Here is a 25,476-nt window from a genome sequence, read left to right as displayed (position 1 = left end):
TTTTCCCTTAATTTATCAGCACTAGAAGATTGAAACACAATATTACTCGATTTCTGTAGTTCCTCTTTTTACTGAGAATAACACTAAACTGAAACTCTAAACTTAATATCTTCCATTTTTGAAAAGCTAAATAAACAGTCAAAAGTTAAATACCTTTTAACATTTGTGTATATAATTTGGAAAGATTATTTATTTATGCTTTGAACAAGCAAAAGATAATGTGGGTACTGAGTATGTCTCTTCAACCCCAGTGGGTTCCCCAGCAACCTCAAAGTAATCTACATAGTCTCACAGAGTTTGCAGTTTTCCTGCAGACATGAGAAAGGTTTGCTCACCTCCCACTCTGTTCCCTCTCACCTATAGGACCATTAATTAGACCAGCAGTAGCAAGACCCTAACTGTTGCTATGTACTTATTGCATCCTATCTTGCTTATAGATTGGAACAGTAAAGCTTAAATGAGTCTTTTTATGCAGTCAGGCCATCATCACCTTCATTGTGGGTCTTTCAAAGACATAATCTGAATTCCCATCAATCAGAAAACCAACAGTGTGTTAAGCATTTTGGATGATGCATACTCACCAACCCTCTGCCTACAGCATCACCTGTTTTATTTTCTGTCTCGATTTCATACTTTTTTGGGCAAAACCACCAGGGAAATATATTTCAATCATAATATATGATAATACTGCTCTCTGCACTCCATTTCATCACCGAAGCCTTGTCTTTTTAAATTGGAAAATGGATTTACGTCTTAGTATTATTTCTGCCACACAGCATTTCAGTGAAACAGCATTTGGATGGCTACAAGTAAATTTAATTTTCTTTCGCTGCTTCGTGGAGTTGGTTACTGTTGATCAAATGATGTCATTTTCAAAGTTTGTTTTTTGGGGGATGTAAAGTAAAGGCCCCATGACCGTGTTAAAACTATGGAGCAGGTATCACCTTCTGAAATAACCAATGATCTTAAAAGTCATTTTGCTTTGTGTTTCCCCATTCGAGAAACTTAAAACCTTCAAGAAATGCTTTAATGTATTTTCTTTCCTTTAATTAGGGCTGTATGTAAATGAATCTAGGAAGGAGTTATTTCTATTGTCAAAGAAAATATGCACTAGATGGAGTCAAATAAGCATGGAACACTTTATTCAAGACTATTGAAATAGGTCAAGGTTATTGCAATAGGGAAAAGAATTTAAACTCAACTCTCCTGAAATAAATGGCTGGAGACTTATAAGCACTGGGATGAACTAGTGGACATGTGTTGGAGGACTTTAAGGAAGGAAAGTTGGTCAGTGCTATTGGACCATCTATGTTTGCTAATTGGTACTTAACAAAGTTAGAATTCTAGCCTTTCATAAAGACATGGACGTCTTATCTTTCTTGGGTGACTACATTTCAAAGGAATGACTCACTGATCTTTGAAGACATTCCTAGGTATTACAGCTGGCAAGTATTTGGGAGAAGATTTACATCTCAAAGGGGCAGAGAAAGGATCTACAATTGCAAGTTTTCTAAAGTAAATGCTCTAGGACAAGGGAGGTGAGGAGTTTATAGTGCTGTGGAAGGCTGTCTATAGTTTAGTCAAGCTGAAGAGAATGTTAAGTCCATCTTGATCACTATCTTTCATAAAGTACAATACAATTCTTTGCATAATAATTTAACTCATCACTTCTAGGATCAGATTTTTTTTTTCCTAATCTCTATATTGATTCTTCTCCACAAAAGTTTGGAGTAGGCCGGGCGCGGTGGCTCACGCCTGTAATCCCAGCACTTTGGGAGGTCGAGGTGGGCGGATCACGAGGTCAGGAGATTGAGACCATCCTGGCTAACGCGGTGAAACCCCATCTCTACTAAAAATACAAAAAAATTAGCCAGGCCTGATGGCGGGCGCCTGTAGTCCCAGCTACTCCGGAGGCTGAGGTAGCAGAATGGCATGAACCCGGGAGGTGGAGCTTGCAGTGAGCGGAGATCACGCCACTGCACTCCAGCCTGGGAGACACAGCAAGACTCCATCTCAAAAAAAAAAAAAAAAAAAAAAAAAAGTTTGGAGTACAATAAGTGTACCAAACAGTAATGTGAACAATTGAACAGATCTTAGCATTTTTGCTTAGACATTTTAAAATGCTATGTTCTAAAGAAATCTTGGTAGGAATTCTTTTTGAGAATAAAGTTTATAAAATAATATTTTTATGAAGCTACAGAAGTAAAAAACATGTCAGAAATCAATATTGTTGTGCAATATTTGTTTTTTCAACCCTTTGATAATAATCTTATGCTGAATGCAGTTTTTACATATTGACCAGGAATTTAAATCCTTTAATTAAAAAAAAATTAGATCATATAATATGACATAAAACTACTCAATCTAGCCTTTAGTGTTACATGTTCCCTCTCTCCTTTTTTTATTATTCTCTTGTGTTTTACGAAAAAAGATGAAAGGCTGCATATACGAATTTTTAAGACATTATATTATTTCAGGCTTTATCTCCACTGTTACGCCCCATAAAATGTATTCAAGTATTTCATTTGTTACATACTGCATATCAGATTTATATTGAATATTTTGAGGACTAGAAATTTTCGTTTAACTGATTCTTAGTAAGAAACCAGGTGGAGAATAAAATTTATTGATATACATGGTATTCTATATCAAATATTTTGGAGTTTCACTTATGTTATTTCAACTTTTTTAACAACCTATAAGGTAGATCTTATTCATTTATATTTATATACTGGAAAAATTCTGTCTTCGTATATTTGATCAACTGATTTTTTTCTGTTCTACTCCAACAATCTGATCACAATATGAAAACTGATCTCAAACTGCTTGCCCAGTTGTGATTTTGAGAAATGATGACTTTTGGCAAGGTTGACACCCATGATATTTAAAGAATATATCTTGAGTATGTGTTCTAAATTATTGTTCCCAACTTCTTTGTTGTCAAAAGGCTTATACGTTTCCACCTTTCACCTTTTGATTTGCAGCATCTTCAGTGGCATAGTCGATATCTCCATGATGTTGTTGCACTTTTCCAGCTGGCTGGTTTTAGCCAATGAAGTATGAACGAGACGTGCCACATCTGAGCAGGAGCTTTAAAAGATACTATGTTTTCTACCAATACACTTGCTTATCTTTCTATGCTATTTTGTTCCAAAATATTCCTATAGTGTAAAGACATTACAAGAGTCTGCCTTTAGATTCTGGAATAAAAAGACTTGGAGCAGCTGAATTACACCCACCAACATGTAATTAATATAAACAGAAATTGGATTTTGTAATCCCCTGAGATTGTGGAATTGCTTAGTATATTGGGTTGGTGCAAAAGTTATTGTGCTGGGCGCAGTGTCTCATGCCTGTAATCCCAGCACTTTGGGAGGCTGAGGCAGGCAGATCATGAGGTCGGGAGATTGAGACCATCCTGGCTAACATGGTGAAACCCCGTCTCTACTAAAAATACAAAAAATTATCCGGGCATGGTGGCGGGTGCCTGTAGTCCCAGCTACTCGGGAGGCTGAGGCAGGAGAATGGCGTGAACCCGGGAGATGGAGCTGGCAGTGCGCTGAGATCGCACCACTGCACTCCAGCCGGGAGGACAGAGCGAGACTCCATCTCAAAAAAAAAGAAGTAATAGCAAAAAGTGCAATTATGTTTGCACTAACCTAATAGTAGCAAAATTGATTAATACTGTTTATGTCTTTAATTAAGTAGAGTACTATTGATCCATCTATCCATGGATAGTAAAAGTTCAAATAATATAGTGGGAATTTTTAGTACTAGTGGAATTTTATTACACAGAATAGAATTTTTTTAATTAGTTAGAAAATCTTTTGTATATACAGTTATAAGTTTCAACCTAAGGGTCCCTGTTTCAGTAAAGATTGGCCCATTTTAGTCCTTGTTATTGTAGCAGGACAAGCCACAGACAAAACCCATCAGACACCAGGTTAAAGAAGGAAGAGGCTTTATTTGGCCGGGAGTGTTGGCAGACTTGCATCTCAAGAACGGAGCTCCCCAGAGAAAGAGTTGCTGGCCCTTTTAAGGGCTTAGAACTCTAAGGGGTCCACGTGAAAGGGTTGTGATAGATTGAGAGCACATGTGGTTAGGGTAGGAGGGTTAATCTTTACCTTCAGGCCTGGTCAGTGGCACCAATTGTTCTGGCCACTGACTTCATTCCTGTTGATTTTCAGCTTTTACTTTCTCCCTCTCTTCAGATACAGGAAACAGCAAGAGAAATGGCTTCTCTCTACATTCCCCACTTTGAGAACCTCACTCACTAGTGGGAGTTCTCACTCTCATCTTCACTACACAGTCCTAATTCATGACAAACATACTTACTTTCCTCTAGCCCCTTTCCCAATCTAGAGAGCCACATCTTATTCTATTTCCATACAGGTCACTGTTGATTGCCTCACAGGTGTCAAGTTTTAAGATAATTTGTTTGGGGACTCCTTTTTCTTCTGTTCTAGTTGTTACTTTACTTGTATCAGCTTTTCCCCAGTTGCCAGTCCTCAATCTTATTTCAAAAACTGTAGTCATAGGGGGCTCTGATGGGTTATAGCACATCTGGTCACTTCTTGGGCTGCATCCCTTGTACTGGGTGGGATGAGCTTCACGTCCCTTTTAGAGTTCCAGTACATTCATAATAACTATACAACAGAAAGACTGTTTTAACTTTTTGCCCTACCTCAGTAACTTGATGTATGCATTGGGAACAGTCCTCAGTCTGAGGAAGGTCAGTTGAAGTCCTTACTGTACAAGTCCAGACTTTCAGAAAAATGAGTCCCACTATGAGTTTCCTCATGCTTCAGCTGTGCACGGACCAGTCAGCTTCCGGGTGTGACTGAAGCATGGCTTGTCATCTTCAAAGTCACTTTGCAGGGGTTGTCCACACTTGGCTTCACCTCCCAGGTCTCAGGTGCTGCAGGTTTTATGCGGCTGTGGTAGATCCAGGCTGGGATTCCCTCTATCTTTATGGCTGTGGGAGTGGTCAAGACGATGGTCTGGGGTCCTTTCCACCATGGCCGCAAGGGGACTACGTTCCAATCCTTGATCCACACCTGATCACCTGGGGAGAAAGGGTGAACTGGGGAGAATAAGCTGATGGGGTGCCTCTCATTTACCCAGGCTGAAATTTTTTGTGTAATTTTCCCTAAAGCCTGTAGCTGTTGCTGTAACTCAATTTCACCTAGCTCTCAAGGAGTGTCTGGGAGTCCCTGTAGTATGGGAGGGGGCATATATATATATATATATATATGATATAATATTACATAAGGGGAATATCCTATTCTTTTAGAAGGGGTACATCTAATCTTGAACAATACCATAGGGAGAGTTTATACCCACTTTAATCCTATTTCTTGACACACTTTCCCTAAACTATTTTTCGTAGTCCGATACATCTGCTCCACTTTTCTGGAACTCTGTGGTCAGTAAGCAGTATATAGTTTCCATGTGATCCCCAATACCTTTGCTGTCTTCTGTACCAAGTCAGCCACAAATGCCGGCCTGTTGTCTGAGCCAATTCATAAGGGCAGTCCAAACCTAGGGATGAGATCTCGGAGAAGCACATCGGTTATTTCACGAGCTTTCTCAGTTCGTGTTAGATAGGCCTCCATCCACCCAGAGTATGTACTCACTAAAACTAGCAAATACTTGTTACCTCCACATTTGGGCATCTCGGTGAAGTCTACTTGGAGATCTTCAAAGGGGGCTGCCCCATAAGTTTGCATGCCAGGTGTTACAGTTGGACCTTGCCTAGCATTGTGCTGCTGGCAGGTGACACGCTGCCGCACCACTGTTTTGGCAAGGGCTGACAGATGCCAGACGTAGAAGCACTGGCCTAACAACTCTTGGCCTAGGTGGGTGATCTCACGCACAGCCAGTACGACTGCGACTCCTAGCAGCTGTGGCACAACTATTCTTCTGTCCAATAACTGGAATCATCCCTCTTCTATCACCTGCCCTCCCTCTGCCTGGAGAAAGTCCTTCTCTTCTTCAGAATAGGTAGGTACAAGGTCACGTGCCTGAGGGAGCAGGGGGTGGGCTGTGACTGATGCCCAGTATTGGGTGAATGCTGCTTTTTGAGCCTCTGAATCAGCTCAGGAGGTCCCCAAGGCAATCGAGGTGGAAGCTCGCTGGTGTCCTCTGCAGTACATGACTGTCACCTTTTGGGGCTTCCACACTGCCTCTAATAATTGCAGGACCTCTCACTGGTACTTTATGTCTTTTCCCCCAGAGTTCAACAGGCCTTTTTCTTTATATAACGCCCCTGCACTTGTAGGGTTAAGAAGGCATACCGAGAGTCAGTGTAAATGTTTACAGTCTTACCTTCACTTAGCTCTGAGGCCCGAATTAAAGCAATGAGTTTGGCCTTCTTTGCTTAAGTACCCTTGGGCAATGATTTGGCTTCAACGACAGCATCCAGGGTTACCACTGCATATCCTGCACACCTCTCTCCTGGTGGGTTGACACAACTGCTGCGGTCCCTGTATAGCTCCCGGTCTACTGATGTCCAGGGATGGTCTCGGAGGTCGGGCCTGCTAGAATAAACTGAGTCCAATGCCTCTACACAGTTATGTTCAACTGGGCTCTGATACCGGGAGTAAGGTGGCAGGGTTCAAAGTGTTGCAAACTTCAATGGTTATGTAGGGATTTTCAAAGAGCAAGCTTTGGTAACTAGTTAGTCTAGCATTTGTTAGCCAATGATGTCCTTTGGTATTTGTTAAAGTCAACACAGCATGGGGGGCCTTTATATTCAGGTTTTGCCCAAGAGTTAGTTTTTCCGCTTCTTGTGCTAGCAGGGCAGTTGCTGCCAAGGCCCTCAAACACGGGGGCCAACCTTTGGAAACCCCGTCTAGTTGTTTAGAGAGGTAGGCCACTGGCCTCAGCCAGGGCCCCACAGTCTGGGTCAAAACTCCAACCGCCATCTTTTCTCTCTCTGACACATACAGTGTAAATGGCTTTGTCAGGTCAGGCAGCCCCAGGGCTAGGGCTGTCATGAGTTTGTCTTTTAACACATGAAAAGCTTGTTGCTGTTTGGGACCCCCATTCGAAAGATTCCTTGTCACCCCCCTTTGTGAGTCCTTACAGGGGCTTGGCCAGTACTGCAAAGTTTGGGATCCATAACCTGCAGAACCCCACAGCTCCTAAGAATTCTCTCACCTGCCTTCTGGTATTAGGCTCCGGTAGGTTGCAAATGACCTGCTTTCTTTCTGATCCCAGGCTGTGCTCCCTGTGTCCGATAGTAAATCCCAGGTAACGTACCTGCTGTATGCAATTCTGAGCTCTCTTCTTGGACACCTTATACCCACAGTCCTCCAGGTGCTGGATCAGGGTATCCTTCCTCATAGCGCACCCGACTGCTGTGGGGTGTCCCAGCAGGAGGTTGTTGACGTACTGGAGCAACACACAGCCTAGGTCTCTGGTGGGAAACTTCTGGAGGTCTTGAGCCAGTGCTTCCCCGAAGATAGTCGGGGAGTTCTTGAACCCTTGGGGAAGCCAGGTCCAAGTATACTGAGTGGTGACACCTGACCCCAGATCCTCCCACTGAAAGGCAAATAGTTTCTGGCTCTCAGGAGCTAGTCTGATGCTTAAAAAAAGCATCTTTCAGGTCCAGGCAGGTAAACCAGCTATCCTCAGCTGGCAGCAACCCCAACAATGTGTATGGGTTAGGTACCGTTGGGTGCAAAGTCACTGTAGGTTGGTTGACCAAGCACAAATCCTGTACCGGCCTGTAGTCCTTGGTCCCTGACTTGGGAACAGGCAGGAGGGGAGTGTTCCATGGAGACTGACAAGGGACTGTAATTCCAAAGGCCCTCAGGCACTTGAGATGGACCTGGATACCTTCTAGAGCTTCTCTGGGGACCGGGTACTATTTTTGCCTGACTGGCTGGGTCCCAGGCTTAATTTCTGTGATTATGGGACCTGTAGGGTTGTCTTCTGCCCACACTTTTGGCTACCGCTTAGCCAGAGCTGGTCCTATCTCTTGGCCTGGCTTAGTTAAGAAGAGTCTCCATTCCTCCTCCTGAGGAACTGTAAGGGCCATGATGATTCCCGTTCCAGGTAGCTTTAGCTATAAAGAGCTGTGCTTTGTGAAAGAGATGGTGGCTCTCATCTTGCTAAGTGTGTCCCTTCCTAGCAAAGGCAAGGGGCAATCACACATGTACAGAAACTGGTGAATCACTTCATGCCCCCCCCTACCCCACAGTGCGGGTCCGGGGCAAATAGAAGGCTTGCTTTGCCTAAACCCCTGTGGCTCCGATTATATCAATAGTCTTTTTGGATAAGGGGGTGACAGGGGTGGTCACTACTGAATGTTCAGCACCAGTATCGACAAGAAAATGTCCTTGCCCCCGACTGTCATCCTGACCATGGGCTTTTTGGGGGCACATGAGCCTGGTCCCCCTCAGTCCAGTAACCCTTCTGCCAGATTGAACAAGGCCCCTTTGTCCTTGTCTGAGGCCTCCTCCTCAGAGTTACCTTGTTTTCCTTTCAACTGGGGGCACTTGTCCTTCCAATGTCCTGTTTCCTTACAGTAAGCACACTGGTTATGCCGCAAGCGTGGAAGGCCAAAGTAAGTATTTTTCCTGGGGTCCCCCTTTTCTCTCCCCTTTGGGGGGACCCCTCTAATAGCTGCGGCTAGCAGGTCAGCATTCGCCGGGCTTGGTGTTCCCTGTCTCTGCACGTCTCTCTGTGGCTTACCCCATCTCTATTCACAAACACCTGGTTGGCTGTCTCCAATAACTGTGAAGTATTCATGCCTGCAAACCTAGCCTGTTTCTGCAATTTTCTTCTAATGTCTTCTGTGCTGTGACTAACGAAAGCCATGTTAATCATGTGCTGATTTTCAGGGCTATCAGGATCAAAGGGAGTATACATACGATAGGCCTCACATAGTCTCTCGTAGAATTGTGCCAGGCTCTCATCTTTTCCTTGAATGACCTCAGAGACTTTGTTAACATTTGTGGCCTTCCGAGCTCCCTTCTTTAACCCTTTCAGAAGGGCTTCCCTGTACCAGTTTAGCCTTTGCATACCCCATCTTTCATTTAGGTCCCACTGGAGGTCTGTTCCTAGTAATTGGATCCTCACATACTCTTGGGGGTTTTGGTAATCAGCTGGAACATGTTCTTCCAGCCACTTAGTTGCTGCTTGGAGCACTCCCCTCCCTTCATCTGTGTTAAAGAGGTACATGAGCAACTGGTGGCAATCAGCCCAGGTGGGGTTGTGGGTCTAGATAATAGTTTGGAGCAAATCAATTATAGCTTGAGGCTTCTCTTTATAGGATGGGGTATTGTTTTTCCAACTGAGGAGATCGGTAGAGGTGAAGGGCTGGTATACAACGGCATGCCTTTCCACCATATGCCCATCTTTGTCTACCCCACTATACCATTGCTCTCTCAGGGGCATTTCTATCCCAGTTCTAGGCCTCAAACGGGTTCCCAAGGGAGGGGTTTCTCCCAAGGTCTTGCATCCTTTCTTTTCTACTCTGGGTGGCCTAAGGGTATGTAGGCCTTGTGGAAGCACAGTGGGCTCAGGAGTGGGAGGCCTTCCTCCTTGGTGAAAGGTGGAGGGGCACTGGCACCATATCTTGCCATGAATCCTCTGATGTTGGGTTGGACAGGACTTTAGGAGCCAACTCCCTTCGGTGGGTGGAGCGGGATTCTTCCTTGGCTGTCTGTCCCTTTGCCACTAGTACTACTGCTGCCTGTCCTCTTAACCACTGTGGGGGGTCTAAAACCAGCTGTAACCAAGTGTCTGTGGAAGGAAACTGGTCGGGTGTCCTGGCTTACCAGTTACCTTGTGCCATACCTTTGAAACAAGGGACCTGTCTAGGCTTCCTTCTGATGGCCAACCCATTTTTAATGCCGGCCAGTCTATCTCACACAAAGTTCTAAGTTTTCCTGGTGTCCTGGTAGCTCCATAGTCTCCATTAAATCCTATCCTGAAATTTTTCAACATAGTTCCTAGCGGAGTGGGCTTACTTTGCATTCCACCCATCTTCCTCCTGAGACAAAACAACACTCACACCACAGGAAGGAAAGGGTAAAGGGGTCACTCACTCACCCCGACCGTCTCAAACTCTAGCACTCACTCACTTTCACTTTCCTTTGTGTTAACAAGTCAAGCCAAATCAAAATCAATACTGAGACCAAAGTGCCGATAAACGCACATTGTGGGTGATCAGACCATGCTTCTACTCAAATGGAATGGGCAAGTTCCCAGGACCCGTCCTACCATATTCCAGATGTCCAGACTCCAGGCACCAGTTCCTTCCCAGTGTTCAGCCAGTGGGTTGATCCTCCGCAGGGGCCTGCTGTGCACCACTCTGACGAGGCGTTCCACTGGGCAAGTGCCTACCCGGGAGCGCTCTCAGGATCCACATCGCTCAAGCTGGCCCGAGTCCCCCACAGGGATGCTCTGCAGGGCAGGCCTAAGCTGCCTACGACCGTCTGTTAATCACCTTGATTCCCAATCAGGGTACCAAGAAATGTAGCAGGGCAAGCCACAGACAAAACCCCTCAGACACCGGGTTAAAGAAGGAAGAAGCTTTATTTGGCTGGGAGTGTTGGCAGACTTGCATTTCAAGAACCGAGCTCCCTGAAGAAACAGTTCCTGGCCCTTTTAAGAGCTTACAATTCTAAGGGGTCCATGTGAGAGGGTTGTGATCGATTGAGAGCACATGTGGTTAGAATGGAGGGCTTAATCTTTACCCTCAGGCCTGGTCAGTGGCACCAATTGGTCTTGCCACTGACTTCATTCTTGTTGATTTTCAGCTTTTACTTCCTCCTTCTCTTCAGAGACAGGAGACAGTAAGAGAAATGGCCTCTCTCCTCATTATGTATTCATTAACTGGCTATATTTTCAATATATATAGTAAGAATCATTTGTTCCTTTTTTACTCCATGAAGGGCAACTGCAAATACCTTCAGAGAAGAGAGTATGTCTTCATTCTCTGATGGACATTAGAAAGCACCTGAGGAATGTGGGGATCACAAAATGTTTGCCTCAGTTGTGTCTCCCCACTCTGAAGCAAAGACACATTAAGTCCCACCTGAGAACACCCTACTTGGTATGATTCGTGACTTTCTTAGTTGTGTTTCACACTTTGGTGTGTTACAATCTGGATGCTAGCCATACGCCTTGCAAACAAAGATTATCCTGCAAGAAATCTTATTGCTGCTCCTAGTAGAAATTAATGAAAAAGGTCAACCTCTTGGGTAATATTTTTTTCCTCCAGAAAAACCTAAATCATGTTTTTGGTTTAGATGATATTTTTGTTCCACTGTGACTGTCTTCAAATTAAACGAATATATTTTGTCTGTCTCCTGAGATTCAAAAATAAATGTATTTGGAATATCAAGGCTTAAAAACCTTCACAATGCTTACAGCTTTTACATTGCAGGCTTTTCTGCTAATGATGGTCTTGCTAGCCATCTTGCATCCTTTGAAAATCCATATTGTTTAGATTTAGAAATGGAGACTCAGTAATCAAAAGGAATAAAACATACAAATCAAATGAGGCATAATAATTGGGAGAGTAACACATGTAACTTAACCAAACTAAATATATATGTTGATCTGACTGCTCTCTTCCTGTAGGCAAATTGCACAAAAGTATTACCTCTCCAATGATCTGATATATTTTGCATGGGTTTTGAGGTATAGTTCTTGAAAATCAATGTCATTTTTTTTTATAAGAGGTATTACTTCTCCCTCAGTGTTATGCTTCGTTACTTAATATGGGCCAGACATTGTGCAATGTCAGAGATATTTTATCTCTATTGCTCTCAGAGAACATTATGTAGTAGATGAAATTGCAAAAATGTAACTCAGACCTGATTTACTCAAAGTGACACACACGTAAGTGAAAAACTGAATCAGATTCTGAATAAGTCCAACAGTTTCTCTCCACATTATGTTTTTACCATTCCGAAGTCCATGAAAGTAATTTGTTGGTCAGGGTAGGAGGAATGCAGAGATCATAAACAATTCTTTCTTGAGTATCAGTCACAATATTGAGAAATCAAGATGTAATTTTCCTCTGTTTTGACTTTAAACCTAAAAAATTAGCTTACACTTCACTTGGAAATTGGAGAGTAAAAATAAGAGTAATTCTATGCCAGAAAAGTATCACAAAGCTACTTGATTAGATCATAAGTACTGATAATTATAGTTTATTCAATGTTAGAAAATATAGTTTCAAGTGCCTATAATATGCTTACCCTGACAAACCCAGCATAAAACTCCCCCCTTGACTTTTCACTTCTTTACCTACATAAGCAGACATGAATAAAATTTCTGTCACAATTTTTTTAATGCCATTTCAACTTTCCCATATAAATTAGCTGACCATAGCTTTTCCTCTGACGTAGCTTCCAGACTTCTGTTTATCTACACTCACAGATCTAGTCTTCTAATAAATTGTTTTTCCTATTTAGACTGCTTCTCCTTTTAGGCTGACAGGCTTCCGTTTCTAAAACTAGCAGACTCTTAGCAAGTGGACACTATCCCTACCCCATCTCAGTATTAACTGTAAGCACTTACATAGTCAATAATGTATCTCTTCCATCATTTAGAAAATTTATTTCATTTAATCCTCACAACAACCTCATGAGGTAGTTACTGTTATTATACCCATTTTATAGGGAAGAAAATTGAAATAGATATTCTTATTAATTTACTCATGATCATACAGTCAGTATCTGAACCAAGATTTAAACCAAGGCATTTGGCTGCAGAGTCCATATTCTTATCTACCATACTGTTCCAACCTGCCTTAAATTCCAAGTCTGATTCATTGATAACTCTGGTAATATCTCTGTTTCTATCTACAACTTTTTTCCCACAAATTATTTTTAATACATGCTACTGAAGTCTGGTCTCATGTTATAAATGATTATTTAGTGCTTCTTGAATTGAACCAAAGCAGAACCTAGAGATGAACATCCTGTTGAAAACCTTTGTGTGTACTCTTTCTGGGTGGTTCTTGATCCTCTAAATCTATTTACAAATGTTCACTGGCCCTGCTACTGAATGTAATAGAAAACTCTAACTCCAACAATGTGTGAGATTTTAGGAATTGTAAAGCAGTGAGAGCCCTTGCCAGGCATATTTATTTTGTTTTGTTTTGCTTTTAAGCATGCATTGGTGGTATGCTTTCAAAAATCTATTGTCATTTTATTTTCTCTTCTTCCTCCTCCCCTCTATATCTTCTATTTTCTGTCTCTCTCTTTTTTTTCTTTCTTTTTTTCTTGCTTTCTTTTGTCTTTCCTTCATTTTCCTTCCTGAACAAATCACGCTACAAGCCACTAGGTGGACTGAGTGAAGTAGGTATGCATGTGGGAGGCGGAGGACCCCCACAGCCAAGCAGAATGGAGGCAGCAGTGTTAGTGCTCCAGCCTGCAGCACTGGAGCTTGAGCAGGGTAAAGAGAGTGCTAGCTTAGGTAGGCAGACAGAGCAAAGTGAGGAGGGCCACACTTTTGGTGGCAATGGCAGCAGCCTAGTGCAGGTTTTTGGTGCCCAGGTAGAGTGAGAAGAGCACCCATGTGAGAGGGAAGTGGCAGTGGGGACTCGGGATGGGTGCTGGATTCAGAGTGGGGTGAAAAGGGAATCTCCATAGTGGGTAGGAGGTTGGGTAGAACACAGGTAGCAAAAGATGACGGGTTACACATAGGAGAGTAGAGCTCAAACAGGTAAAAAAGTTGAGGCTAATGGACTCTTAACTTCTCACTGTCAAAGAAAGAAAGTTGCAGATATGGAAAGGTATAAAACTAGAATTAACCTGTGATGTTGGATTTGGTATGCTGATGTCAGTGTAAAAGAAGAATTATCTATCTATCTATGTGTCTATAATATAGAAGTAAATGTGTATATATACACAGTTGTATAAATGTGTATATATACACGTTTATATAAACGTGTATATATACATATTTGTATAAACGTGTATATATACACGTTTATATAAACGTGTATATATACATATTTGTATAAATGTGTATATAGTTGTAAATGTGTGTAAATATATGCGCACATAAACATGTCTAAATGCATGTGTATAATAATGTGTGTATACACACACACACATGCCACTATATTCACTAGCTTTGTTTTCTGGGCCTAGGAGCATCAGCACACCTAGCACCCAGACCTTAGACTCCAAATGCCACTCTAAAAAGAACCACAGTTTCAGGGAGTAATGCTTATTTGTGGGGGGTGAAGCAAAGAAACTGTAAGATGAGCCAGGAGTATATTTTTGTGTTAGAAAGCAAGGAAACACCTAAACAATGATGGCAACATATCTAAAGGATACAGAATCTAACTTAAAGAAACTACCAGCAGCCAAATCTTAAATGATTTGAGCATCAAAATAAATAATGATAACAACAGATTATAAATCACTGAGTATAATAGTAATCTATGACCCCATATTGACATAAATAAATCAATAAATACATTTTCAAAAACACAATAAAACATTTACAAACTGTTACAGAGTAGTCTTTTAAGTTACTTATTATTTAAAAGGTGGAAGAAAAGAATAACTTCACAGTGGAGAAATGTACAGATCCTACCTGACCCAAGTGATCAAAATTAACTTTATCAATAATAGAAAAAAATGAAATTGTCTGCTAAATGGATAAAATTAGAACATATCAATTTTGGAATCTCTTCATGAAGATAGAAGAAAGTCAAATTGAGGCATTCTAACAAAGAATTTTCCTGTAATTTTCAAAACTATTAAGGTAATGAAAGTCATGGAAAAATTGAAGAAGACTAAAAATATCTGGCAACTAAATGCAATACATGATCTTGGGTTGGTTGTTTTTTCCTTAAAGAACATTATTAGAACAATTGACTAGTGGCTGCTGAGTAGATGGTGATAATGTGTCAACGTTAATTTTCTCATTTTGATGGCTATATAGAAGGATGTCCATGTTTACAGAAAACACATCCTTAGGTATTTAAGGATGGTGGAACATCATGTTAGCAACTTAGGCTCAAATGGTTGAGAAAAAATATTATTTGTACTTTTCATGCACAATTTCTCTATGTTTGTGACAGTTTTGAAATAAAAATTCAAATAATTTTCACATGTGCTTAATGAAATAGAAATTTACGGGCTTTTTATATTCATGCTATGACACTTAATGACCCTGAGATATGTGTTACAGGATTTGATAGTCACATTCCTTAAATAAATACACATCAGATATTAATTTTAGGCAAATGATAACTCCTTCATGCAGCCTTGACTACATTGGTTGTGCAAATTCATTTTCCACTTTGGTGAGAAAGTGGTGAGATATTCAGTTAAGTCCATCAGTGCAGACAATCAATCTGAAAATACTAGTTTACAGAATCACTTTGGGTGCAAAACTGTCAAGGACGTCTAATTAATTACATTTCCACTTCTGTGGGCTGTGTCAACTGGAGGAAACTGATGTACCAACATTTGTTCGGTTTTCACCTATGGACTTTGCATGGAAGAGCTCTTGACTAATCAATAAATGAACACTTGTTTTTAAAAGTAAGCAGGAGAAATTATGATAAGCACATTGTTTTTTACCTGCAACAATGTCTGTATTGTACATAGACTTCCTTCATTACTTGGTTCCTTGGTTCCTTCTCTCCTTCCTTCATTCTTTCCTTACTTCCTGCCTGCCCGCCTGTCTTCTTACTAAATCAAGACCATAAAGTAAAGGATTAGCATAAAGCCATAATAAATTAAGAGTTTTGATTTATAATATATTTATTATTTTCCTTCACATACCATTATATTTTCTCTTCCCCTAGCCGCCTACACACTATACATACATAACTTGTGGTTTTCACAGTTCACTATGAGGGTTTACCTCCAGCTGATATGAAGCTGCACACATTCTCAGTGGGTTATAATGGAAATGTTCCAAAGAAACACTGTTAAAGTAATTATTAAAAATTTTTGAACCAAAAAGCCTTGCTAAAATTATGAAAGTAAGAATATGTTCACTTTTGACTCTGTTTCTAAACCTTGAATGAAATAGTGAAATCCTCAAGCTCTTCTAGTTCAAATATGCATGTATTTTTTGGCTGTTTTGTTCTCGCATAAATATTTGTAAATATCTGTTCCCAGATATTTTCTTTATAGATTGTACAACTCTTTCTTCTATGAACCCAATCAATTTTTATAGGTTTAAGTGCTTGTTTCTATACATCTAATAATTAGTATAAATTAATAGTGTGCTATGACAGTAAAAAATTACTATAAAACTTCGAAAGAGTTTTTAAAAAATAAACACAAAACCTGATACCTAATTGGAGAGATGTCTACACAAAAATTTACGAACAATACAAGATCTTATGGGTAAATATCAAGTGTTTAGGTGTTCAGAGATTATTAATACAGCTGTGGATAAATTTTTATAGACACAAGATTGGATTAGAGCCTAGAATTTGGTCATGTGGTGATTTTTAAAAAGGAAAAAAGTGGGTACTTTGAGAGCACATAATAGTGATAGTACAGACAATAAGGTAAAAATGATTCTAAATTGTTTGGGAGCAGTCACAGATTCCATTGCAAGGATAATAAAGAGCTATGGCCATGCTTTCCAGGGTAAAATATTATATATATATAATTTTAGAGAGTCCATGAAGCCCCACATGTTCACCTATTGTCTTTCTCTTTACCTTAATGCTCTAGGTGGTAGGCACTAGAATTTGCAGACAAACTCAATCAGAACAACTAATTTATTGCAAATATTAGAAGCTGAGGCGAAAAGGTAAAAAGTGAAAGAGTGGTAGAGCTTGAATGTTAGGTGGCTAATACAGAGTTCCAAACTGATAAACCCTCTAAAGAAGTACTCAGTATTCAACCAGCCTAGTTAGGGGATCAGCAAAATAAAAAAGTGTAAACTCAAAATATAAAGACTAGTTCTTAATGTGCCCTTTGGCAAATCAAATGAATCCATTATTATTTTTTCTTTTTTCCCTCCCTCCTTCCTTGCCTTCCCTCTTTCCTTCCCTCCCCCCCTTCCCTCCTTCCTTCCTTGCCCTCCTCCTCTTCTTTTCTTTTCTCTTTCTTTTCTTTTCTTTCTTTCTCTTTCTTTTTTCTTTCTTTCTCTTTCTTCTTTCTCTTTCTTTCTGTCTCTCTCCTTCCTTCCTTCCCCTCCTCTTCCTCCTCATCTCTTCTTTTCTTTTCTCTTGTTCTCTCTTTTTCTCCCTTTCTTTCTCTCTCTCTCTCTTTCTTTCCCTCCCTTCCTCCCTCGCTGCCTCCCTCCTGTCATTTGTTCTTTCTCTTTCTTTCTTTCTCTCTTTTTTCTTTCTTTCTCTTTATGTCTCTGTCTCTCTCTCCCTCCCTCCCTCCCTTCCTTCCTTCCCTCCTTCCTTCCTTTTCTCTTTTCTTTTGCTAGTTTGTATTGCTTCATTTAGCTATAGCCATAGATCCTTTCCTATTCACAGACATCCAGAAATATAATATACGTATTAGAATAACAGCACCATTTACCTCATTAAAACCCAAATGGGACTAAGGGGTCTGTGCACTTTTAATAAGCAATGATTAACATTGATTTTAGCATAAAACACATTACCATAGTTTCTTCCTTAACCATAGTCTTTATTTCCAAGGCACTGCAGTAGTTCAGATCATACTAAAGATAAATTATTTCGTTCATCAGTTCACATACTAAGTCAGGCATACTGCTGATTTAGTATAGAGGTGAATGGAATAGGGTCTTTACCCTTAGGAATTTATGGTCTAGTTAAGGAAGCAGGTAAATTTAGGAATTTATGATCTAGTTAAGGAACTAGGTAAATAAGCCAGTCAAAGAGTGAGACCTGCTCTCCTATGCCCCCCTCCTAGGGATCAATTAGCCTGCCCAGATAACTTATAATATCTCTAGTCCCAGCAAATAAAGGAACAACCAGAGTTACTATGGGTGTGAGGCAATGATCTTTTTACGGCAGAGGTAACCCTCTGCTGAAGCACAATATCTGCATGACAAAACCACATTTTGTTCCGGGGATGGGTGGTAGGAAGTTAAGGGGCAGTTAATTTATTGGGTCCAAGGAGTTTTATGATGACCTAAAAATACTGTACCACTAGTGAACACCATTTGTCTGGTCATGTTCCAAATATCTGATTTATGTCAACAGAGATTTCTAAATGTTATAATCTGTAAATGAATACAAAGGTCAAGTTCAGCAACATATTCTAGAATTGTCAGGTACCAATAAGATAGAGCAGAAAAGTTCTATTGGGAAATGTGCTAAAAATTAAGTGCAGTGTTAGAAGAAATAGCATGTCATTTTGAATTAAGGCAAATAATTTCAGCAGTGGAGAATAGATTGATTCTAACATTTGATTTTGCACAGTCTTAAATCTGATATAACTTTAGGTTAGCTGTAATTTAAAAAGAAAACAATACTTACTTGGCAGGAGGAAGGATATCTGACATTCTTTTAAAATTACTTTAACTGTGGTTATCTTCTATAATGGGATTTTGTTACATCATATCCATGTAATTGAGTCTCACACAAACACTTGGTAAATACATTTGTCTACCGACAATGCAAAATTTCTGGTAGAAAAATGTCTTGAATACTTTGAGAGTCAAATCCCTTGAAAAGCTCAGAAGAACAAGATCACCATGCACATTTTATTAATGTGTGCAGTGTGTGAACTAACCAACAAATACCCTCTGAAAGCTAAATGAAATAGGGCATGAAAGAGGTAATAGGGTAAAAAATAAGCAGAAGCTATCACTTGCTAGTGTAGTTGATTCTAATTTTATTTTTATTTTATTGATGCTGTGTTTTGTTTTTTACTTGACACAATATGCAATAGCATTGGAATTGTCAACATTTTGCATAATGGACTAATGCAAAAATCACTGATTTTTTTAAGGGTTTTTTGTGTCTCTATTTCCTTCAGTTCTGCACTGATCTTAGTTTTTTCTTGCCTTCTGCTAGCTTTTGAATGTGTTTGCTCTTGCTTCTCTAGTTCTTTTAATTGTGACGGTAGGGTGTCAATTTTAGATCTTTCCTGCTTTCTCTTGTGGGCATTTAGTGCTATAAATTTCCCTCTACACACGGCTTTGAATGTGTCCCACAGATTCTGGTATGTTGTGTCTTTGTTCTCGTTGGTTTCAAAGAAAATCTTTATTTCTGCCTTCATTTCGTTATGTACCCAGTAGTCATTCAGGACTAGGTTGTTCAGTTTCCATGTAGTTGAGCAGTTTTGAGTGAGTTTCTTAATCCTGAGTTCTAGTCTGATTGCACTGTGGTCTGAGAGACAGTTTGTTATAATTTCTGTTCTTTTACATTTGCTGAGGAGTGCTTTACTTCCAACTATGTGGTCAGTTTTGGAATAGGTGTGGTGTGGTGCTGAAAAGAATGTATATTCTGTTGATTTGGGGTGGAGAGTCCTGTAGATGTCTATTAGGTCTGCTTCGTGCAGAGCTGAGTTCAATTCCTGGATATCCTTGTTAACTTTCTGTCTCGTTGATTTGTCTAATGTTTACAGTGGGGTGTTAAAGTCTCCCATTATTATTGTGTGGGAGTCTAAATCTCTTTGTAGGTCTCTAAGGACTTGCTTTATGAACCTGGGTGCTCCTGTATTGGGTGCATATATATTTAGGATAGTTAGCTCTTCTTGTTGAATTGATCCCTTTACCATTATGTAATGGCCTTCTTTGTCTCTTTTGATTTTGGTGGTGTAAAGTCTGTTTTATCAGAGACTAGGATTGCAGCCCCTGCCTTTTTTTACTTTCCATTTGCGTGGTAGATCTTCCTGCATCCCCTTATTTTGAGCCTATGTGCATCTCTGCACATGAGATGGGTTTCCTGAATACAGCACACTGATGGGTCTTGACTCTCTATCCAATTTGCCAGTCTGTGTCTTTTAATTGGAGCATTTAGCCCATTTACGTTTAAGGTTAATATTGTTATGTGTGAATTTGATCCTGTCATTATGATGTTAGCTGGTTATTTTGCTCATTAATTGATACAGTTTCTTCTTAGCATCAATGGTCTTTACAATTTGGCATGTTTTTGCAGTGGCTGGTACCGGTTGTTCCTTTCCATGTTTAGTGCTTCCTTCAGGAGCTCTTGTAGGGCACGCCTGGTGGTGACAAAATCTCTCAGCATTTGCTTGTCTGTAAAGGATTTTATTTCTCCTTCACTTGTGAAGCTTAGTTTGGCTGGATATGAAATTCTGGGTTGAAAATTCTTTTCTTTAAGAATGTTGAATATTGGCCTCCACTCTCTTCTGGCTTGTAGAGTTTCTGCCGAGAGATCTGCTGTTAGTCTGATGGGCTTCCCTTTGTGGGTAACCCGACCTTTCTCTCTGGCTGCCCTTAACATTTTTTCCTTCATTTCAACTTTGGTGAATCTGACAATGTTGTGTCTTGGAGTTGCTGTTCTCGAGGAGTATCTTTGTGGCATTCTCTGTATTTCCTGAATTTGAATGTTGGCCTGCCTTGCTCGATTGGGGAAGTTCTCTTGGATAATATCCTGAAGAGTGTTTTCCAACTTGGTTCCATTCTCCCCATCAATTTCAGGTACACCAATCAGACGTAGATTTGCTCTTTTCACATAGTCCCATATTTCTTGGAGGCTTTGTTCATTTCTTTTTATTCTTTTTTCTCTAAACTTCTCTTCTTGCTTCATTTCATTCATTTCATCTTCCATCACTGATACCCTTTCTTCCAGTTGATGGAATCAGCTACTGAGGCTTGTGCATTCATGACGTAGTTCTCGTGCCATGGTTTTCAGCTCCATCAGGTCCTTTAAGGACTTCTCTGCATTGGTTATTCTAGTTAGCCATTTGTGTAATTTTTTTTGAAGGTTTTTAACTTCTTTGCCGTGGGTTTGCACTTCCTTTAGCTCAGAGTAGTTTGATCGTCTGAAGCCTTCGTCTCTCAACTCGTCAAAGTCATTCTCTGTCCAGCTTTGTTCCATTGCTGGTGAGGATCTGCATTCCTTTGGAGGAGGAGAGGCGGTCTGATTTTTAGAGTTTCCAGTTTTTCTGCTCTGTTTTTTCCCCATCTTTGTGGTTTTATCTACCTTTGGTCTTTGATGATGGTGACGTACAGATGGGGTTTTGGTGTGGGTGTCCTTTCTGTTTGTTAGTTTTCCTTCTAACAGTCAGGACCCTCAGCTGCAGGTCTGTTGGAGCTGGCTGGAGGTCCACTCCCGACCCTGTTTGCCTGGGTATCAGCAGTGGAGGCTGCAGAACAGCAGATATTGCTGAATAGCAAATGTTGCTGCCTGGTTGTTCCTCTGGAAGTTTTGTCTCAGAGGAGTACCCAGCCGTGTGAAGTGTCAGACTGCCCCTACTGGGGGGTGCCTCCCAGTTAGGCTACTCAGGGGTCAGGGACCCACTTGAGGAGGCAGTCTGTCTGTTCTCAGATCTCAAGCTGCGTGCTGGGAGAACCACTACTGTTTTCAAAGTTGTCAGACGGGACATTTAAGTCTGCAGAGGTTTCTGCTGCCTTTTGTTTGGCTATGCCTTGCCCCCAGAGGTGGAGTCTACAGAGGCAGGCAGGTCTCCTTGAGCTACGGTGGGCTCCACCCAGTTCGAGCTTCCTGGCTGCTTTGTTTACCTACTCAAGCCTCAGCAATGGTGGGCACCCCTCCCCCAGCCTCCCTGCTGCTTTGCAGTTTGATCTCAGACTGCTGTGCTAGCAATTAGCTAGGCTCCGTGGGTGTAGGACCCTCTGAGCCAGGTGCAGGATATAATCTCCTGGTGTGCCGTTTGCTAAGGCTGTTGGAAAAGTGCAGTATTAGGGTGGGAGTGACCCGATTTTCCAGGTGCCGTCTGTCACCCCTTTCTTTGACTAGGAAAGAGAATTCCCTGACCCCTTGCGCTTCCTGGGTGAGGCGATGCCTCGCCCTGCTTCGGCTCATCCTCAGTGCGCTACACCCACTGTCCTGTACCCACTGTCTGACACTCTCCAGTGAGATGAACCTGGTACCTCAGTTGGAAATGCAGAAATCACCCATCTTCTGTGTTGCTCATTCTGGGAGCTGTAGACTGGAGATGTTCCTATTCGGCCATCTTGGCTCCACCTTAAATTTCTTCATTTAACAAATTAGGTTGATACAGTGCTCAACTTTGAAACTTATAAACTTGGAATAATCATACTTGCACATTTTGTATAATATTTTATCTGCAAACTATATTACATATAGATGTTGTGAAAAAGGTATTATATTTTAATAACTGCAAATGTGAATGTAATAATGGAAATTTTATTCTTTTGTAATATATTATTTTTTGGTACTCTTTGAGATCTGTTATATTGATTTACCTAATTTTCTTTTGAGTGCTATTTAATTCACTGATTAGTCCCTCTATTAAATTTTGATAATGCTCTTTTCTATACACTTACAACATTTTATTTTATTGTTTTGCAAATCTGCTTGGTTTATTAGTTTCTAAGTGTTACTATTAAGACAATCACATTTTAATACTGTAAAGCATTTGTTGTAATATTTTTCTAGCTGAGCATTTGAAAGGTGTAAGCTTCATATTCTATTGATGTCTTTCTGCTGCCTATCATTCAACACTGGCCTGTTTTCCCCTGTGATTCCTAATCATGGCTTGACCTACAGTCATTTGTGGCCAGTGTTGAAGATTCAGCCCTTTAGATAATTTTTTTTTTTTTTTTTTTTTTTTGCTTCTTTAATATATCTCAAGAGGTTTACCAACGCACCACTAACCTTTAGGCTGTTTCTCTTGATGGGCATCCCTGGACCGTTTTGTATATATTTGGAGTTCAAAGCCTGAAGAGGGAAAGCCCTTGTGTACAAATTCTCAAAGAAAGCTTTTCTTTTTTTTTTTTTTAGGCAATGTCCCTAACAGTGACATCATCACCCAGACGGACTCACAAGTTTACTTTCTTTTACAGATTATTTTTTTTACCCTATAAATTTTTCCTGCTATCTTGAAAAATGAGCTATTATTGTAAATGTATAAATTCTATATTTCTTTCTAGGTGTTTTACAGAGTTTCTAGGTTATTTAGTTTATCAAAGTGAGAGCAACACAATCAATACTTTACTTCTGACCTAATTTTCATTGGCCTTTTAAAATGTTTGTTTATTTATCTATTACTTTCTATTAAGTCATGTGCTATTCACCAGTCGTATACCTCAGTGGACTTTTGGAAAGTGATGAAATGGAAAACATCCTCCTCGACATTTTTCTTTACTTGAACATTACACAATTTTGTTATTTAACAAACTGCTAAGATTGAATTAATCTGATCATTTCTATGTGGAAGATAAATTTTAATGAGTGACAGGATTTTCTGGACAGAATCACCCAGAACAATTACACTGGAAAGACAGTCTTGAGAGAGAGAGGGCTAAGGCACCAGAGAACACAAACCTTTCCACAGATGGTTGCGTATGAGTCAATGAAACAGAAGTACAACACTGAGAAGAGAGGGCACTTCAGGGGCAAATGAGAGAGTGCCAAATAACTCTTTTCTAGGAGTTTCAAGAATTGTATTGTCAGTCTCCTTCTGTGAAGCCAAGATTTGACATGAAATCGTTTAAGTGCCCTTATGCACCAAACACTGTATGGGATTGTAGGTGGCTGAGTATGAGTAGAATCAGGCTTATGGCTTCATAACTGGTGGAAAGTCTGTGCAGCTGGCAATCCAGAGGAAAATCCACAGGACTCAGCAGCCTCTACAGCTGCAGAGATATTTGAGACTGAATCAGGCCTTAAGTAATTATCTTGGCATTCCATGGTAATCATTCAATAGCTCATAAACAGTCAACATTGACTATGTAATTAAAAAATAGTTACATAATTCTGCCCCTAATTTAGTCACTAAAATTAGTATCTCATGCAATTGTTTAGGTCATTTTAGACAATTTTTTGAGATACATTAGCTTATGCTTACTTTTCAAGTGATAATTTTCATTTATAATATTTTAATTGACATTTTAATATCATTAGGAAGCCAAGATGCCTATGATATTCTGACTTGAACTTCTTTCCCACTCTGTAACACTGCTACATTTTATCCTTAAAGAAAAAGTCCCGGGGTTGAGTGACTTGCACAAAGTCATATGAATAGTTAAACTACACTTTCTTGTGCAGCTCTTATAATTTGAGGTCTATACTCCTATTTAAGGAGGAGCTAAGTAATCAGCAAACTAGAAGAAGGTAATTTAACAATTCTTCAGTAAATAACACTAATCTGCTTTCTATAAAAGGGAGTTAGGTGATATGTAGACTGAATGTATAAAAATGAACAATACACACAGAATAATCTGATTTTATATGCATGTTATATATATATATATACACACACACGCATACACTATGTGTATATAGTAATCGTGTATCAGCCTTTATACATGCCATATTCGTTAGATTCTAAATTTATAAAGATAAATAGAATATCATTTTCCTAGAAAGAATATTTTTATTATGTTTTTGGCCAATTTAAATTACATTTTTTAAACATTATCTTTCTTACCTCTGGGGAATGTGATGAGTGGGCTTCTTTTGTTTCAGAAAACCCTATTTCAAAAAATTATTTAATTTAAATAAATACCCTCTATCAGAAGACTGGCACATTTCAAAATAAAATTTTATAAGAGGCACTGCCGTCTACATGAAATAAAACCATTTAAGCCCATTCACTTGCCATTTATATCTAAGTAAACAAATCCTATATACTGTGATCTAGCCAATTGGATCTAGCAAGCCACAGAACATTACCAGACCACTCATGCTCACCGAAGCTGCTTTTCCTACATAATTGGTGAATATATAAAAACAAACTAAATACCATTATACAAACAAAAACTACCAAATGACAAGGGGGAAGAACCTTTGATTTTTAGGATTCTTCGTATCACTTTTCTTGCTAAGGTAACAGAAGTATTTCAATTCTCTATGAATGAAATTAGCTTACATTTTAGCTTTTAACACCATTTACGTTTACAATGAATTATGATAACTAGCTCAGCTCAGTAACATGGGAAGTTTTTTCACGTCTTAGTGAATTTTGCTAGAGCTAAAATAAAATGAATGTCTTAGAACCTTGCTACACAGCATGTACTCCATAGAGCAGCATCATGGACATCACCTGGACATGGACATCACATCAGCTTGTTAGAACATTTCAGGCTCCAACCCAGATTTAGAGATTATAAATATGCATTCTTTCAAGATCCCCAGGTGATTTACATTTTAGAAGACATGGATAAATACACCCTCTGCTGGTCAGCTTTGTATCAGTTTACTCTACTGTGACTCTGACTGGTCTCCCCTTCCACTCCTGAAGCCCCTAGTCATCACATTAATCTCCCACTTACAAAAATTGCATGCAGCCATTCACTTGTTATAATTCTCTTCTCTTTCACTTGATACTTTGGTTCACTGATCAGTTACCCTATCCACCCTTGGGGTTCATAGCCACTGTCTGCTTCTCGTCTCATGTCTTGCTGGCTTCCCTTGGCTTTCTTTCC

The 25,476-nt window shown here is 40.0% G+C and overlaps 1 annotated feature.

The window, feature by feature from the left end:
• Nucleotides 1,128-1,737: an enhancer, noted in NCBI's record as "OCT4-NANOG-H3K27ac hESC enhancer chr2:52667173-52667782 (GRCh37/hg19 assembly coordinates)". NCBI's record gives its function as "activates a minimal SCP1, AML or CMV promoter by ChIP-STARR-seq in naive H9 embryonic stem cells {active_cell/tissue: H9 hESC(naive)}" and the evidence as "EXISTENCE:reporter gene assay evidence [ECO:0000049][PMID:30033119]".

The sequence above is a fragment of the Homo sapiens genome, chromosome 2 (genome assembly GCF_000001405.40).
Source record: "Homo sapiens chromosome 2, GRCh38.p14 Primary Assembly".
Lineage (NCBI taxonomy): Eukaryota > Metazoa > Chordata > Mammalia > Primates > Hominidae > Homo > Homo sapiens.
The sequence above is the reverse complement of the archived record's forward strand: the minus strand, read 5'-3'. Positions and strand labels throughout refer to the sequence as shown.